The following is a 19291-nucleotide window of genomic DNA, read 5'->3' as shown; positions in this document are numbered from 1 at the left end:
AACAGATATTCGCAGGTCACACAGGGAATGGGTGAAAGAGTCCGAACACAAACCCAGGCCTACCTGATTCCAGAATTCGTTTTCTTAATGGCTACACTGTATTGTCTCCCACAGTACTTTGGATGCAGTTAGGCACTTGACCAGTGTTTACTGAGGTGAATAGTTCTCAGACTATAGTTAGCCAACACAGAGAAGACTGCCTACGCAGGAACCATAGAGATCTTGACACTCCTCCCACCCAAAGCCACATGCCCTCTGGCCTCCATTAGTACTGTGGGATGTATATGCTGTTCCATGTGCTGGATTTCACCCCTAACTTCTTAAAACATTTTTTATTGTTGTATAATAGTTGTGCATATTTGGGGGATACATGTGGTATTTTGATCATGTATACAATGTATAATGATCAAATCAGGGTAATTGGGCTGTCCATCACCTCAGACATTTATCTTTTGTTTGTGTTGGGAACATTGCACATTTTTTTAGCTGTTTTGAAATATACAATAAATTGTTGTTGACTCTAATTTTTCTACTGTACTGTCAGATACTAAAACTTATTCTTTCTCCCTAACTGTATTTTGGGACCCCTTAACCAACTTTTCATCCCCCCCTTCCCTTCCCAGCCTCTGGTAACCACCATTCTAGTCTCTACCTCCATGAGGTCTACTTTTTTAGCTCCCATACATCACTCCTAACTTTTTGTTGGTAATAAGGTATTCCTCCATTGGAGCAATCAGGAAAAGGCAAATGTTTTTAAGACACGCTTCCACAGGGAGCATCTTAGCTGATTTTATTTGCTTCATGTTTTTCTCTCAAGGACTTTTTTGGGTGGGTTTGTTCTATAGTTGTATCCAACCTCATCTTTCAAGCATCTAAAAGCCAGGGCTGACAGGTTACCAGGGATGAGCCCAGCCCTCTCTGCTGTACTATCAATGTGTGCTCCAGTGTGCATATAGCAGCCACTCAGCCCCTGTCCAGCATGCTCCCCAATCCTGACACCAGGCCAATGCCAAGCTGTGTGAAGAGCAGAGAGGGGTCTGCTGCCCAGGTTAGCGAGCTGGCCGCTGCTACCAGCCAATAGTATTTCATCGTCATGGCGAAATACTAGGTCTGAGGAGGGATAGCAGGACCCAGGCCACATTAATCCTTCTCCAGGTGTATTAGTTCAGTCCCAAGGGTTTGGTTGTTTGTTTATTCTAATGTGTTGCTGCAATAGGAAACCCAAAGCTAGGGCTGGACGCAGTGGCTCACACCTGTAATCCCAATACTTTGGGAAGCCTAGGCAGGCAAATTGACTGAGGTCAGGAGTTTGAGACCAGCCTGGCCAACATGGTGAAACCCCATCTTTACTAAAAATACAAAAATTAGCCAGGGGTGTGGTCGTGGGTGCCTGTAATCCCAGCTCCTCGGGAGGCTGAGGCAGGAGAATTGCTTGAACCTGGGAGGCAGACACTGCAGTGAGCCGAGACCGTGCCACTGCACTGCAGACTGGGCGACAAGAGTAAAACTCTGTCTCAAAAAAACAAAAAAGGAAACCCAAAGCCAAACTAAAACCTCCTTTTCAGACCTGCGATTCTGAGCACAGAGACTCGTTTATGTAACCCCTGTCCATTGCTGCGTTTTCTTTTTAAGTGAGCTGAGCCATCTCAAATCTTTCTCAGAACTTCCCAACACTCCCCAGTGTCCTTGGGGACCCCTAGTTCAGCCTTCTCAAAGAAAGCAGTGCTTTTCCTTCTGAATTTTTCTCCCTGTAAATACAAGATTTTTTTCCACTGTGACCAAAATCACACATATCAAAGGAGATGGAGAGGGAGTTTGGAGCTTCTGGAGGGAAGGCAACAGTCAGTATAGAGCAAGGTCCCCCGGAAGGCAGGAGGGCATGAGGTGGAAAGCCCTAGTGGAAAGGCTCCCATTTGTGATAGTCCCTTTGGCCCTACTGCTTGGCATCTTCCAGCCATGTCGGTCTTTGGTTGCCTTTCCAGTATGCAGCTGGAAGCAGGTTGGTGTTGGCTTTGTCATTAAAGAGCTAGTGGACACTTGAGTGACGGAAGGAGACATGAGTGATGAGCCAAAGGAGATTCTGGGCTCATGCGAATGTTTTTCTTTCTCTTGTCTAGAGTGGTGCTTCCTGCCTGTTTCCTCATGTAGGCTGATCATTCCTAATCCAGGAATCTGAAATCCTCCAAAATTCAGAAATTTTTTGAGCACTGACATGACACCAGAAGTGGAAAATTCCCTGTCTGACACCTTTGCTTTGTGATGGTTCAGTGTGAACAAACTTTGTATCATACACAATATTTAAAGTATATAAAATTACCTTCAGGCTCTGTGTATAAGGCCTATATGCAACATAAATGAATTTCAAGTTTAGACTTGGGTCTTATCCCCAAGATATCTCATTATGTATATACAAATACTCCAAGATCTGAGAAAAATCCAAAAATTTAAAACATTTCTGGTGACAAGCATTTTGAATAAGGGATACTCAACTTAAATGGCACATTTAGAAAAGTCGTACTATAGCATGGAGGAAGATGCCCACAGCTGGAGGCTCTGGATGGTCCAGGCCCTGTCAGGCCACCTGGGGCTGAGGCATACCTGAACCTCAGCAGGGTACACCGGCTGAGAAGCCCTGGTACAGAGAATCATAAACCTTGCAGTGCAGATGACCCGGGCAGACCAGTTGATTGGTTTTAGAGATTGGCCCAGCTTCTTGATAGGACCTGTGAAAAAGCTGGGGGTCAAAGAGGTATGACCCCTTGAACTAGATCACAGAGGAATCTGTGGCCATGCTGGGACCAGAGCCATTCCTGTGCTCACCTAACTGTGAGATGTGGTAAATGAGGAGGCGGAGCGTCACATCACACACATATGCACACACACGTGCACTCATGCTCACACCAGGTTAAAACCATCACACCCTATCTTGTGGCCTCCAAGTCAAACCCACTCCCCATCCTGAACCCAGAAGATGGGAAACTGGTGTCCAGAGCCATCATCCTTTGAGCAGCAGCCATAGCACCACATGCTCTTGAAAACCCAGGCCTGACATTATTTGTCATTAACCTGTTTCCAGCCTGAGAAACCTGTGGTATTCCACAATGAATTACTGTAGCAGCCCCTCAACTGGCCTTGCTGACTTCAGCCTTGTCTCTCCTACCTCATATTACAGTCAGAATTAGCTTTTTATAAACTACAGACCTGATCATGCTACTCTTCTTTTTATTTATTATTTTTTTGGTCCCTTCCTGTATGATAAACTTACCCTTTGTGTTCAGATACTCTTCTGAGAAACCTTCTCAATGCACCAGGTCTGGCCTTGGAATCTCTATTGCACCCTCTACCTTACCTATTATAACATTTACTGCACTCTTTTGAAGTTGTCTGTTTTTCTTCCTCCCACTCCCACACTCTAAGCCCCTTGAGGACAATGGGTTCGTCTTACCTGGCTGAGCCCCAGGGCCAGGCACAAGTAAGATGGGCATTCAGCACACATCCAGTGGGCAGCTCTGCTGCTCAAACTTTTATTTTTTTGCTTCACTGTACAAAGCCTAGTTCTGCTTGTTCTATTTTAAGGCTTTAGCATCTTGGTGGATCAAGGCTGTCATATAAACAAACAAAACCTTACTACCAGTGATCTCCTAGAACCAGGATATATTTAGCACTATTTGTCGGTAATTACTGTTCGTTATGACCTTAGGACATTATAAAAGTCCTAAGTGCTCTTGACTCATCAGAGGCAAATTAAATTATTCCTTTAGCAAACATTTTGAGTATCCACTTTGCACAAAGCATGTGTTCAGTACAGTGAGGTATATAAGGATGGATGTGATAGGTTTGCCTCCTAGAGTGGACTGTAGAGCTTTTATATTTTGTTCATGTTTCTTCCTACATTGAACATTTGTAAAAATAAATGAAGAAATTAAGCCCCTGAAGAAGGCCCATCTACAGGTTGTGAGACCTTATAGTGTGAGGCCGGAAGACGATGCTGGCTCTTCATTCAATCTCAAGAGTAGGACAAGCCACCAGCCTCTGGGAGATACAAGGATCTATCAAAATGCAAATGCTGCCCTTAAAAAGACCACAGTCTAAAACAAGAAACAAGATTTGTACCTAATAAGTACCTCTAAGACAAAATAGGAAGTGAAAAGTGCCCAAGAATCTGTAATCTGTTTGAGCTCCAAGTAACAGAAAACCCAATTCAAAATGGCCTAAACCAAAGGGAACTTACCATCTCATATAAAAAGAAGTCCACATGTAGTCTGCTTCCAGTTTGGTAATTCAGCAGCTCAACACCATCAAGCTCTTTCCACCTACTCTGCTATCCTCAGAGCATCAGCAAGCTCTCCTCCTAGGTACAGAAAGGTCAAAGGCATCCCATCCTCTTGTAACAACGCCAAGGCGGACAGATAAAGAACTGTTTCTTATGCATCTCTCTATGAATGAAGAGACCTTTCAAAATTCCCAAGCCAACCTCCCCTCATGTCTCACTGGTCAGAACTGGGGCACATGCCCACCACTAAACACTCAGAAGTGGTCTGGGGCCATCCATGTGGCCTAGACCAATCTGGATTTACCTTCATCACATGAGGAAAGAGTGAACTTGTTCTACCAGCAGAGAGGAGGGAGTTAGATGGCTGTCAGGTAGCAGGCTGGAGTGCCTGCTACACAAGGAGTGATTAAAAACCTTCCACTGCTCAGAGGAGAGCAAGGAAGTCCTCACGGAGTGGCCTCTAATGCAGAAGACCAACAAGTGTGCTCGGTATCCTGATGGGAGAGACGGAGGTGCTGTGGCTTCCTGCATCAGCACTGCTTCCTGCAGGAAGCGATATCTAAACTGTGGACAGAACTTTAAAAGGGGAGGGTCACAGTCAACTTTTCTTTACAGAAACATCACTTTGGGTGTGCAGAGTGGATTGAGGGGAGGTAGAGAGACCAGCTAGACAGCCATGGCTGTGCTACAGTGATCCAGGGGCCAGCTGCTTATACTCCCAACTAGGGTGGGGCAGTGGGGTAAAAATATACTAATTTGAGAAATATTGAGGTGGCGTAAGCAGGACTTGGAGACAGAAGAAGGGGTGTGGTGGAGGAGTGGGGAGTCCAGAACGACTCTGGGGTGTCTGGCTTCGGCAGCTGCCTGGATGACAGTGCCACTCCCTGAGCTGGAGACCACAACAATAGGCGGAGGTTTGTGGTGGGGACAGGAATGATGAGTTCAGGTATGACCGGGGCTTAGTGTGTGGGAGGTAGGCGTGGTTGGGACCAAGCTGAAGAGGTGACCGGCAGTCATAGCACACAGCACCTGTGGGCCAGGCCAAGAGCTTGCCCTCCAGCTGCCCAGAAATCTGTACAGAGTTGGAGGTGAGGAGAGATGAAGGAAAAGAAATAACATGCGCAGAGGTGGGGAGCTCACAACTCTCCGGGCACGACCGGGAACAGAAAGTTGTTACACTGAGCTGCACAAAGTGGCCCAGAGGAGAGTGGCCAAAGGGGCAGGGCATGCTGGAATGACAACAGCAGCCCGTGTAGGGCAGCCTCATGAAGAGGAGAAGGGAGCGCCTACCTTTACCCTGGCAGAGTGCTCACATACACTGCCACACTTAACGCCCGCCACCTGTCCTGCTGGGCAGGCATTCTCTCACCGACACCACAAAAACAACTCAGACAGAAACCACCCAAGGGGATCAGGGCAGTTCTAGAAGTAGCTCCCCGTTTTCCAGTCTCAGGCCAGTGCTGTCTTTACTACAGACCCCTTCAAAGATCTTTATTCACCACTGACCGAACACTTTAGTAAGTGCTAGGGATACAGAGCACAGTCCAGTGTGGGAGGTACAGAAAGGCAAATTGCAAACCCAGCAGTGAAGCATGGAGGCAGAAGCTGAGCTGTGAATGCTTTTCATGCTTGGAGGGGAGGTGCATGCGAACAGCTGATTCATGGAAGGTATCGGGGCTGCCCTGGCCCCCGCTTCAGTTCTGGCTGGCCTGCCCACCACTCCTTACTTTATGAAGTAAATTTCCTCCAGTCGCAGGACTTGTCATGGGTGATGTTCACTGTAGGGCATGAATTGAAACTCAGCAAGTACAGATTGAGAATCGCTTATCTGAAATGCTTGGATCCAGAAGTGTTTCAGATTTCAGGTTTTTTTTTTTTCAGGTTTTGGAATATTTACATTATATACTTACCAGTTGAGCATCCCAAATTTGAAATGCGTCAGTAAGCATTTCATTTGAGTGTTATGTCAGAGCCCAAAAAGTTTCAGATTTTGGAGGATTTTGGATTTTCAGATTTGGGATGCTCAACTTGTATTTGAAAACAAGAACTTAAAAAAAAATTCTTTCAACATAATTACCAAACACCCACTCTATATTCAGCAGTGTTCCATGTGCTGGGCATTGAAAGGTTAAGTAAGACATGGGTCCTGCTGTTGTGGAGCTAAGTAGGGAAGAGGGCACATGGACAGACCATTGTAGTATGACAAAGTGAATGCAGTGGTGACACTGTAGGAAGCAAAGGGAGGCCAATAATTCAGCGTAGCAGTCACCTGGAAAGGTTACTGGAAGCCATAATACAGGTCAGATTCGAGCCACCTTTCCCTGCCTTGAGATTTTTGTAAGGACACAGGGACATAAATTGGCACTTAGTGTCTAACAGTGTCTGGCAATGGATGATATCCCATATTATTTGTAGCTCAGATTAGTGGAGGAATTAGCTAAGAAGTATAGAGAGAATGTTGCTAAAATAAAGTAATGATACCTTAGTCAACTGTCAGTTACTTTAAGGAAAGAAATTAAAGTATATGAAATCAATTAGAACAAAAATAGTTCATTGTTTCCAACTTATGTGATTGGGGCGAGGTGTTGAAAAGAAGTATTAACTAGCTCATGTCTGGGCCCAACAGGAAAGAACACCATGACTCATTAGTGATAGCTGCCATGAGTGCTGATCCATTAGGGATGTCTACCGTGAGTGCAAGAGGAAAAGAGGCAACCTCCATGCCACATGTCTGCATTCCTTAAATTAGAATAACAGCTCAAGGTACTGGGATCTGACTGCATGCAACCTGTTAACCCCAAACTCCTACATGCTTGGCATTTTTCAGAGACAAAGTAAACAAAGTAAACTTTCAAAATGTCTGTTGTGATCCTGGTACATTCAGACCAGTCTCTTATACTTGCTACTTCTGGACAGCTGCCCTCTTCTCTCCAGTGAGACCTGGAACCAGAGCAACATCCTGAAACGCCAAGGAAAGATGAATATGGGGTACTTAATTACTGCATTGATTCAATTATATTTCTCCCAGTGGTGGGAGAGTGAAGGAGTATACGTTAGATTTCCTGTAAGAGCTGATCAAAGAAAAGGCCTGCTAACAAGCATATGGTTATCAGAACTTCTCATTAAAGGGTCAGCGTAATCAATTGAGGATGGGCCACATTGAGTAACTATGAGGTGCTATGGGGCAGGGAAGGGACTGCAGTTTCTTATGTCTTGGTAATAACTCTTGCTGAAAGACAGATGTAATACGACCATACTGATATTTGTCATCCTTCACAGCCATTAACCTGGCATCTCTGTTGTGCCACTTAAATGCCGACTTAGCTTAGAAAGACAGCTGTGGACTCCAGAAAATGGGGAGAGGCTCACCTCATTCAGTACCCGTGTTCAGCACATTAGTCTTGAGAGAGGTTTCTGTTTGCTTATGGTTTGGGTTTGACTCTTCTAGAGCATCTGCATGATAACTCTTTCCACCAGCCATAGAGACACAAGAGATGTCTCACAAGCCATGCTGGAAAATCACTTAGATTTCTTTTCAGGATGCTATTGAATGGGAATAAGGGCCGAGGTATGGCTTTTCAGGTTACCTAAGTATCCCAGAAGCAGTACGCCAGTCGACATTTGTGTGCATGTACTTTTGTACTCAAGACCCCAAACACAGCAACCCTGACCTGTTTGAAGACCCCACCCTGGACAGGGGACAGTGTTTCCCCAGAGCTGCCACTCTTGAGGCTCTGGAGGAGACTGGGTACAGAGACCCTAACTGTGGGACAGTCAACTGAAGGTGACTGTCCTGCCCCCTGAGCCATTGAAAGCTTTTTTCTTCAGATACTATATTATTCCCAGAGGTGCCATTAAACATTCTCCCTATGCTGTAGTGAGAAGTGGCTCACAGACTCTGCCTCTCTGTTGAACAACTATAGCTTTTACTTTGAAAACTAATGTCATTCATTTCTATAATGGCTAATAAATATTTTTAGTGGCCCAGAATGCATTTTAAAACGTGTGTGTATATGCACGTGTGTGTGTGTGTGTGTGTGTGTGTGTCTGTATGTGTATCCATGTAAATGGGCAGTCCTGGTAGACTATGAGTGGATGCGTGGGTGGGTGGGTGAGGGGGTGAATGTGTGTAAATGGTTGGGAAAGTCTGGAGTGGCCCAAATAATAACTGAGGTTAAAAACTGGTGAAAAATATTTTAATGTAAAAGGAAAAACAAAAGTTCATGCATCTTTTTTAATGAGGAGCAAAAATAACTCCTTACCTGTTAGTGTTATTTTTAAAGTATATGATGAGTAATTTATTACCTGCTGCTACATATAGTGTCATAAAATATGAAAATACGACTAATAAGTGGGAAAGGAAATTTGTGCAAGTCAGCATTGCTGTAACTGAAAGAACTAGAGTTTATCCTGCACATATACTGGCAGTCTAATGTGAGTCTGAGGCAAATGAGAGAGCTCAATAAGACTGCATGTAAGTAGATATAGGATATTCTGAGAAATAAGAGGGCCTGGAAACCTAAGCCCCAGTTATAACACTGTTTCTATGGGAAAATATGCTACATAAATACCTTCTTTGAAACCAACTTTTGAAACCCTGCCGATTTGTAAGTTAGGGGCTAATGATATAAAATGATCACCTACTGATCTGTAAAATTCTCAGCACTAGTCTGTCATCAAGCATTTATTGAGTAACTGCTGGGTGAATTACGCTGTGATGAGCATAGCAGGGTGAAACAAAAGAAATAAAGGAGTGTTTCTGCCCTCAAAAAGCGTGCACCTCGTTGGAGAGAGAAAACCTGCATACAAAGCAACCTGAGAACTTTTACAATGCCTGAGCCCACAAAGCAAGAGGCCTGCAGGCAGCAGTGTGAAAGAGGGATGTGAGGCAAGTGTGGTTAATCAGGAAAATGTGAGGTTCCACTGGGAGAACATGTTCCCTGTTCGTTTGTAATCCCCCAGAGGCACACCAAAGACTCTCTCATTTTTCCTGGAGAGCCTCACACAAGCATGAAGCAGTAGCTGCGGTGAATGTCATATGATCCTGGCGTGCCAAGCAATTCAAAACTACAAATGGCATGTGGTATTACCTTATTAGGAAAGGTTCAGGCTTTTTTCCTCTTTCTGCTCCGTTTTTGTTGTTTAAAGGAAGATAGGTTGTTGGCAGGCTGGGCAGTGGGTACCTTCTGTACCCAGAGTTTCAGTTCTGAAGCACACCCTGGTGAATCATAGCCTTTCTGAGAGTGCCCAAGGTTTGGAGCCCAACTTTGTGTTTTTGTGTAAATTTCTGGGAGAGTCTGTAGATGGGACAGTTCCTAACCAGTGACTCAGCACCTGAGAGGCAGAGTCCTTACCTTATTTGTCAGGCAGAGCTGTTGCTTTTCATTTCTCTCCAGCCTTGAGGTCTCCAAAAGGGAGAAGGGAGATCAGGAGAGGGGAACAAGTTGTGGATAAAAATTCTCAGTCTGGGGCTGTGGTGCATCCCACTGGGAATGCCGATAGCCTGTGGAGATGGGCGTGTGGCTGAGGCTGCCTTGCCAGGTGAGGCATCCAGATCAACCAGTCTGTCCTGATTGGAGGCTCCTAAAATAAGCCCTTTGCTCTGTCGTGCAGGCTGCCTCTGAGACGTGCTTCCTGGGGGCAGCAATCAGCAAACAGTTGTACCCAGACCCTTCCTCCTGGTACTGTATTTTAGCTTTGAGAAGCACTGAATCCGTGTTACTATATATGCAGTGGGGGAAAGGATGACATTCCTCCTCAAAAGATTTACATCATCATCAGTAGCAGCAAACATTTATTGAGTGCTTACTGTGTTCCAGGCACTCCATATGCTTTGTCTCATTTAATTCCCTTTACAGCCTTGGAAGGGCTTTTTTATTATTAAAACTCCTAATACTGTTATCTTAAAATAATAATTTTACCCTAATGTAAAGTTCCATTTTGCAGGTGAAAAAAACAGAGGTTTAGGGAAAGGTTAAGCGACCTATCCATAGTCTCACTACGAGCAAATGACAAAGGCAGGATGCGAACCCAAATCTGTCTCCCTCCAAACTAAGTTAGCAGACTATTCTTCTTAGACACCTTTTTATTTGCGGTTACTATAAGTAATGTCTGTAGACCTTCTGCTTTATTCTCCTGCATTATTCAGGAAGAAATGGAGGGTTTGGTTGTTCCCCACCTCCTCCCCTCCAGGGGAGTGGGAAGAGGGAAAGTCCTTGGAAAATAAGTCAGAGATGATTTTTTTTTTTTTAAGGAGAGTTTGTAAGGGAAGTGTTGAGTTGGCCAACCGAAAGGGAGAGGCTATTCTGGACTTCACATGTGTTATGGAAGAATGCGTGGTAATGAGTGGGAGAAACAGAAAGTAAACCAGTACAGGGCAGGATCAAATAGAAGGAAATGTGATAGCAAAGAAAGGGGCAGTCCTGCCTCCAAAAGTAGCATGTTAATGATTAGCACTCTGCAGACTTTTCAGATCTCACATGCTCTCAGCAGTATTCAGAACTCCCTTGTTTGGGGGAGAGTTTTGCTTTCCAAAACACAAAACCATGACATTTAATTCTCAGTTTCTGTAGGGACTAGATGAAATCACCACTGGAAAAACAAGAATGGCAGTGCATGTTAATTATTTCAGGAACTCTTAGAGGGTGCGAATAAAACAGCTGCCATCCCAAAAGACGCTGCACTTCTTCCTCCACCCTCTCTTCTTATCCCCCCAAGCACGATTTCTGTTTTTTGTGCCCTTCTTGCTACTTCTTTTAAAGAACTCATATCCCTGTGTTTCACTGAAGAGAAAAATGCATGCAAGAGATTATTGTTATTTTTTTATAAAGCATGTTACATCTTCCCAGTAGCCTATGGTATGGTTTCAGGACTACTCTGATTTTTGTATCTGATTGACCTTTGATTGGTAGCCACCAAACTCTGGAAAGCCAGGAATTTCTTTCTTGATCTGTAACCAAACTTCCAAATGCCCAGAACTTCCACTCTTCAAAGGAAGCATATTACAAACAGAAAACTCCTTCGAAAAGTGAATTGTAGTCCACCCTTTAGGTTCTCTCCTTTCCCTGCCCCCACAAAAAGGAAAGTTCTTTATCTCTGCCCTCTGCCTTTCTCTCCCTGCCCCCTCATGCAGACTAACAGTCTCTTGTTCTGATATAGAATGTTCTGTAATTATTTGTCCTCTGAAGATTAGGATAATAAAACATTTCAGCCACCCTCTTTTGGGTTCCCACTTTGCCCCAGTGAATAGAACTGTGCCCCACCATCCTTCTCCTCATAGCCAGCAGCCTCAAGTCCCACAATAGCTCTGCCTTGGTACAGGGAGCCAACATTGTTTGCATAGCATACGTTCCTGGACAATTAGAAGATCCAGTTTAACCTTCAGAGCATCCCCATCAGTTTGTGGGTGTTTGTTCCGGGAAGAGGAGGAGAGATGGTGACTTTTGTGGTCCACACATGATGCTACCCACACACAAGTTCAAATCTTTAGAGATGAGCTGAAAATTGTGTTGCTAAAGTTCACATGTAAAATCAGACTTTTTAGGTACTTCAGTCTTTCTGTCCAGAAGCAGATAGCATTAATATTTGCTTCTTATAACACTACTTGCCCACCTCACTCTCATTAAGTGAAAGCTTTTTTAAAATAGCCCAATTTCATGTAAAATTAATATTCATTAATCAAGATACTGTAATAGCACACCTTTCTGAAAATACATTCTGGTTATGATTGGTGTCTGATGAGGGAGGCTTTAAAACTCTTACTCCAAAGATGATACAGTCTTGGGCCATCGAACACTCAATAGATTTTTTATGGGCTAGGCGCGGTGGCTCACGCCTGTAATCCCAGCACTTCCAGAGGCTGAGGCGGGCAGATCACTTGAGGTCAGGAGTTCGAGATCAGCCTGGCCAATATGGTGAAACCCCATCTCCACTAAAAATATAAAAATTAGCTGGGCATGGTGGCACACACCTGTAGTCCCAGCTACTCAGGAGATTGAGGCAGGACAATCACTTGAACCCGGGAAGCAGAGGTTGCAGTGAGCTGAGACCGCACCATTGCACTCCAGCCTGGGCAACAGAGCAAGAGTCCGTCTCAAAAACAAACAAACAAAAAGATTCTTTATGCTTTTAAAACTGCATGTTAGGAATTATTTGCAGTTTTGTGTGCATAAAAGTTGGATCCCAAAATGGTATCAGGAAAGATAGGAGTAACTAAGTTGAAACTCACCAGTTTTTCTTCTACTTATTTAGAGTGAATTATAGCATGGCCTCCACCACCAAAAAAGAAAAAAAAAACACACACTTTTAAAGTATATTATTTGCTTTAGGAATGTTTAGCTGCCTTTCACTTTCAAACTGGAATTTAAGCCTTCTACATCATTTTACCCCCTTTCTGTTGTCTCTTTTCACCTTTCCTTAGACTCTGAGAGAATAAATGTTTTAGAACTTTGGAATCAAAATAAAATGGCAACCTCCTTGAATTACTTACTAATACTCTCTGGGTCTTAAGCGTAATTTTTTGCACATAATTTAAAAATCAAAACACCAACTGGTGGATTTAAGCCAAACTCCCTATTTTTAGAACAGTATTTTTTAGATGGTAGATTTTATTTTAGACCACAGGGATGGAGAGGAATGAGGGAGGCTCCTGGGCACTTCTCCATCCCTTGGTGAAGAGCTGGTGTGACCACCTCCCCCGCCCCCATAGCTCCCTCCGAATGCCTTCCTCAGCACAAGCCACTTCCGTGCCTTCATGAGTTGATTGCTGAGAAGAAGGGATGTTACAGGCTTGCTTAGTTTAAAAAAAAAAGTATTTGGTAACTTTCTTTTTAATTCTGGTGAATTTAAGTGCTCATCGAGCTAGAGGGGAAAGTGGGGACTTTTTAAAAAATTAAGAATGGAAGAGAAACGTTTCTTTATTCTTGCAGGAATCAACTTAACTATGCCTTTGTCAGCAGGTAGTTTATTGGAGAGTCAATTAAAAAAGAAGGCTCTGGCCTTTAATTATCCCAGTTGGTATTCAGCTTTAGAAAGTCTGTGGACCTGCTGAGTATGTTAATTTAACAACTTTATAGTATCTTAACTCTGCCATTTCTCCACCCAAACCACCTCCCCAAAGAAAAGAATTTAGAGGAGTCAGATGATACAATACACCAAGAGCTTTAGTCCTGCATACCTTGTTTCTTAGGACTTTGGACTTTCATTAATATCTTTAGGTAAGTTTGTTTGCTTCTCATGTAACTTCAGAGTCATTTATTCATTGGTTCATGTATTCATACTTTCCACAAATTCGGTCAATAAGTATTTATTAAGTACTGACTCTTTAACAGTTGCAGGGATATAGACAGAGATGTCCTTGCTTTCAGAAACCTTAGCTTCTAGGGGGATGGAGAAACAAGTAACAAACAAGGAAAACTACATCAGACAATGATAGGTGCTACACGTCATTTCCACAAACATCTATTTATGTATTTATTTATTTTTTAGATTTTTACACTGACTTGGAAACCACAAATACTTACTAAGTATCCACCTGTTACCCAGCAAAGGAGATGCCTGTGGAGAGCCCTGTTTGCAAAGGGGCTCTAATGTTCCCTTTCTTACTTGCCCCCAACCCTGTGAAATAAGGGGACGGACACCATTTTCTCCATTTTAGAGAGAAGAAATAGAGATGCAAAGAAATAAAGCAGTTTTGTCCAAAGTTATAAAATTCGTATGTGGGAGAACCAGACCCTGTGGGGCTTGGATGCCATTTCTGGGCACTTTCCTTCCCAATGCCATGCTGCCTGGTCACCGGGGCAGCTTTCCACCTGGGAAGAAGCAGGGCCCAGAAGAGTGAAATGCCTTCTCCAAGTCACGCAGTAATTCATGTCAGATCTGAGACTAAAGCCCAGGACTCTTCCAAATGTATTCTTCACATCAACAATTCAGATGGAAAGCTATCAGGTCCCACAACAGTGTTTGTGGTGGGCTTGCTACATTGGCAACTGTGAAAGTTGATTTATATAAATTTTCTGTGATGACACATCTATTACCCTGGTTTATTTGTCGTCTGTGTATAAGTACCCATACAAGAGAAAGTTTTACATTTTTATTTATTTCACACACTTAAGTAAATATTTACCATGTGCCAAGCACTGTGCTAAACACTTTACAAATACTAATACATTCATTCCTCAATACAATCCAATAGGATAGGTGCAATTATTATTCGCATCTTACAGATATAGAAAGAGGTACAGAGAAAATAAGCGACTTGCCCTCAGTCATATAGCAAGTAGGTGGCAGAGCTGGTCAAACCCAGACATTCTGGCTCCAGCCTGTGAACTTAGCCACTACTCTTGGTTGTAGTTTTAAATAGGATCACATTCTCTCTTAGGAGATGTGCTGGGAGGGACAGAAGATTTGGAGGTAGAGATTCAAATGCCGGATCTACCCCTTGCTAAGTGTATAATTTGGTGCAGATGACCAAAGCTCGCTCTTCCCATCTGTAACATGGGACATGTTACATACTTTGTAGGGTTCTAGTGAGGATGAAATGAGATATTAATAGCATCTGCATGGCCTTTCACAAAAAAACCTGAGTCCTCCTAGCTCCTGCCCCATGAGTAGCAGTCACATATGTGTGATTCTGGAACCGGTGCCTTGTCTCTGTCCATTTCCATGGCGCTGCACTAAGACGTGGGCCCTCTCTGCAGACTATAAACTGGTGCTCCTTCTTACAAATGTTCTTCGTATATCTGAAAATCAGTTATTTAAAGAAGTGCCCGAGCACAGTGTAGGGCACAGTGGAGAGGAAACACCAGGGGTAGCCTCTGCCTTTCCTTGGACACCTGAGAATTTCATCTCAGGCTCTGGAGTTGCGGACAGCAGTTGGCAGTACAAAAACTCTGCTGTTTAACCCAGAACAATCTTGCTTAGTAGGCACCCGGGGAACCAGCATTTAAGAGCAAAAGTTTGGAGTTGATCTACCTAGGATCACATCCCAGCTCTATGACTTGCTAGCTGTAATTTACTTGATTTCTTCATGCCTTTGTTTCTCCATACATAAAGTGGGAATGATAGAAGTACCCCCTCATAGGGTTAGTGTGAAGATTAAATGAGGTAATTCTTGTGTAGCACCAGTACCTGGTACATAGGAAGCATCCAGTAAATACTGTTACATTTATTGTTCGTACTGTCATCATCACTCAAGCAATGCCCTTTGAGGATTCTCTTCCCCACGCACACACACACAAAAACTCACTCAAAGGAACACACCCAAGTGGCTTACTATGTTATTTCTACTAACCGTTTTCAGCACTTCACTGACAAATAAATACCATTTTCTCTATTGTGATATATTTCCAGAAAATTGTTTAACATGCAACTAACATTCTCAATCTCTTAAAGACCAATATCCTTGTAAAAAGCTGGATGACTGGTCTGCCTCATAACTTACCTCCTGCTTATAAACACAAAGAATTCAGTTTATTGATGAATAGAAATATAGAAGTGTCTTAAGCATTACAGCAGCCTAAATTAATTGCTCTTTGAGTTTCTGAAGTTTTAAAAATATATGCCATAAATAGGGCTTTTTCAGGGGAGGTAGGGGGCAGTCAGGAAGCAAATTCAAATGGAGGCAGGTGTGAGTAAACCCAAACTGTCTTGTTTCCCTGGGTCTTACTTTGCAAAATCCCTGTATGCAAAGGCATTCTGGCCTGTCACGGTCTTTATCTAATCTAGGCTTTTCTGAGTTTCACTCTTCTGTTGCATTTGGCGGTATTAGCAGCAGATAAAAATTCTCTGTCATTTGCTGTATGGAGACATTTATGCTATGAGGTTAGATGCAGTTTTTATTGTTACCAAAGATGTATTGCATTTTGTTATATTTGTTGTTTTTATGTTATTTTGCCTACCCAGCTGACAGTAGCATGAAGAACCTTGCTTCTGCTTCAGGTACTAGCTTCAGTGCATACTAAATCTTGACACTGAGATTTCAAGATTCAAATTCCTAAAACACTAGATAGCATTTCATTCTCACCCAGCTGCCCCTACTCCTATTCTCCTAGGCTGCAGATCCCGGAAGGTGGCTTCATGGTAACACTCTAGAAATGTTATTCTTAGTGAACCCAGTGTAACTGAATTTTTTACTAAGCAGTCAAAAAGAAACCTTTATTCTTCCTGATTAGTAAGTAGATAGCTTGTATCTTTACTCTTCTAATAAGGTAGTGTATTCTAAACACCAGTATTTTGTATGCCACCATCAGAGGATTTATCAGACCTGCATACCATCTAGTATCAGATGTTTAGTGTTTTTCTTTAAATCCATTTTAAATCAACTCACTTTTTAACTTATCCTTGTGTCAATATCATCCATAAAACCACTAGTTTGATGTGTAATTATCTTTTTCAAATAAACATGAGCTATTTCTATTAAAATAAATGTATGCCCATATACCACCAGAAATCATTATATGTTTCCAAGAATGGAAAATTGCATTATTTGATGTAGAAAGCAGTCAAGTGGTATAATTTGCCAGTGATCTTCCACTGAAATTTAGTGACTTTATTTATAATAAAAATATTTCTTTCTCTTTTTTCAGATAGCTTATATCGCTTTATACACACTGTTTTTTGCCACTTTTCTTCAGCTTCTTTGGACCCTACCTGTCATTTCAGGCCCCCAAATTTATTCTTCTTTTGAGATAATAATCGTACTTATCTCATAGAGTAATTGTGAGAACGAATGCTTTGAGCACAGTGCCTGCCACAGAGTTAGAGCTATAAGCTTCTCTTTGGTCTATGTGGGAGTTTTCTTCCCAGGTGAATTACCAGATCCTTAGGGCCAGAGAATTCCTGAATTCTCTGTGAGTATATAGTGTAGTAACTTGCCTCTAGAAAATACCAACATATATTTATTAAATTATTAAAGATTAGATTGTTTTAGAGTAGGTCAGGGGAAATAAACAGAACTTGGGTCATGAGAATAAAACATTTCTTGATATTGATTGATTAATGCACATTGTGGTGGATGAGTCTTTTTGTGAATGTTGTGAACATTTACTTAGATCATTTCTAAAAGGGTGCTAGAGAATCTGCCGGTTCACCCTAATTGATGCCCCCTCTAAGTAGCAAAGCAGAAGAACCAAAATTCAGTCTCAGCACTTTAAAGGTTTTGATTCCTAAACTTGGTGTTGGTCCCACTGCCTGCTTGAAACATTGAAACAACTTTCCAAAAAATGACTTACCCCACGGTCACAGCCTCAGCCACCTGTGGGCCCAGGCAAGTAGAGCAATGCAGCAGGTGAGGCCAGGCCATATCCAAGTGCATCTGCTACTCAGCTCCAACTGAGCAGCCACATGGGAATGTGCTTTATGTAAAGAAGCCAGAAATCTGGATTTTTATGTGAAAACTCCCAATTTCTGAATGTTAGCTCCATGAAAAAAATAATAATAATTCTCTGTAGGCCAAATAAAACAGGTCTGCAAGCCAAATTCAGTCCTCCAAATGCCAATTTGGGACTTTTGACTTAGACTTTACTTCCTTGATCCAATTCTAGAGCTTTTTCAAGTTATACAGTATTTTTAAATAATTTATTCTAGTATCAAACAGCTAGCTTAATTGTTATAGACTCAAAGATGGTGGAATTAAAGACCTTTGATGATCAGTTTCTGTTTGGGGTGATCCCAGCCCCTCCAGAATCTGAGAATGAGCTGTTAACCCTAAACATAGCCATCAGTCCTTCCCCTCTTGGCAAACAGAGGAAACAGATGCCAGGCAGTTAATAGCACTGGTAGCTGGTGAGGGACTTTGGATAGAATATGGTGAACTTTCTTCCAGGGTCAGTGCATTTTTGTAGCACAAGGAGGAACAGCTTGGAGGAATTAAGTCCATGTAGTCTGCACATGTCAGTGACCTTACACAAGAAGGCGGTGGCCATGAAGTCCAGGTGTGCAATCAGAATGGCCAGGAACTCTGACGTGTTTATTTCTCCCAAAGGCCAGAGAAGCTTTAAAAAGCAAACAAAACCTTAAGTTGTAAAAAATGCTTTTCAGTTCTTGCCACTAATCTTTAACTTAAGAAGCATTTCTCTGTCACGTGTCCCCAGTCTGTATTTTATAAAAATGAACTGAGGTTCAAATTAGGTAATAAGCTGTCTGATTAATGCATGACCTTTATATATACACTGAAATAGAAACAAATGGGAAGAATAGTTTTGGGGAATAGTTTTATTCTTTAGTTTGGGTTTTTTTTTAAGAACTAGTGGATAAAAATATAAAACATAGATGATTCCCTGTTCATTCATATTCATGGTTGTAACAGCAAAAATACCATAAATTGGATGGCTTATAAACAACATTTATTTCTCACAGTTTTGGAGCAGTGGAGATCCAAGACCAAGGCTCTAGCAGATTCGATGTCTGGTGAGGTCCTGCTTCCTCATACACGGTGCCTTCTTGCTATGTACCACAAGGTGGGAATGGCCAATTAGCTCCCTTGAACCTGCTTTATAAGGGCATTAATCCCACTCATGGAGGCTCCACCCTCATGATCTAATCACCACCTCCTAATACTGTCACCATGGGGTTAGGATTTCAACATATGAATTTTGGGGAGACACAAACATTTAAACCGTAGCAATTATATATGTAGTAAATTTTAGAATGAAGCATGATCTTTCCTTACTCCAGATCAGGGATTGGCAAACTTGTTCTGTAAAGGGCCAAATAGTAAATAGTTTAGGCTTTGTGGGCTACACAGTCTTTATCACAACTGCTTAACTCTGCCATTGAAGGGCAAAAGCAGCCATGGGTAATACATAAACAAGTGAGCATGCCTATGTTCTCATACAACTTTATTTACAAAAATCATCAGCCAACTGGATTTGGCCCACTGGCTGTAATTTACAGACCCCTGCCCCAGATCAGCAGGGAAGAAATATAGGAGACTTGTTCTATTTTTAATTGTTTTTATAGTTCAAACAACAGTGGTAAGAGTATTCATAGCCCTGTATAGCGAATTAATTCATTTGTGTA

At 42.5% G+C, this 19291-nt stretch overlaps 1 protein-coding gene and 1 long non-coding RNA gene across 5 annotated transcripts in view, besides 1 other annotated feature; one reads left to right on the top strand and one right to left on the bottom strand.

Annotated features, from left to right (window-relative positions):
• LOC105378781 (uncharacterized) overlaps positions 1 to 4757 on the bottom strand; it is a 28722-nt gene extending 23965 nt beyond the window's left edge. The window contains exon 1 of the long non-coding RNA XR_007066163.1: positions 4232 to 4757. This is a non-coding gene — a long non-coding RNA (uncharacterized LOC105378781). The remainder of the gene's footprint in view (positions 1 to 4231) is intronic.
• The window catches only part of GNG12 (G protein subunit gamma 12), a 131993-nt gene that overhangs the window by 73963 nt on the left and 38739 nt on the right, over positions 1 to 19291 (top strand). The window contains exon 3 of one of the 4 annotated variants that reach the window (XM_047425406.1): positions 18629 to 18729. The exons of the other annotated variants lie outside the window; for them this stretch is intronic. The gene's annotated coding sequence lies outside the window, so the exon portion shown is untranslated. The remainder of the gene's footprint in view (positions 1 to 18628; positions 18730 to 19291) is intronic. 4 annotated transcript variants of the gene reach the window in all.
• Positions 12773 to 13594: an enhancer, noted in NCBI's record as "OCT4-NANOG hESC enhancer chr1:68211594-68212415 (GRCh37/hg19 assembly coordinates)". NCBI's record gives its function as "activates a minimal SCP1, AML or CMV promoter by ChIP-STARR-seq in primed H9 embryonic stem cells {active_cell/tissue: H9 hESC(primed)}" and the evidence as "EXISTENCE:reporter gene assay evidence [ECO:0000049][PMID:30033119]".

This window comes from Homo sapiens, chromosome 1, assembly GCF_000001405.40.
Source record: "Homo sapiens chromosome 1, GRCh38.p14 Primary Assembly".
In the NCBI taxonomy this organism is placed as follows: domain Eukaryota; kingdom Metazoa; phylum Chordata; class Mammalia; order Primates; family Hominidae; genus Homo; species Homo sapiens.
The sequence above is the reverse complement of the archived record's forward strand: the minus strand, read 5'-3'. Positions and strand labels throughout refer to the sequence as shown.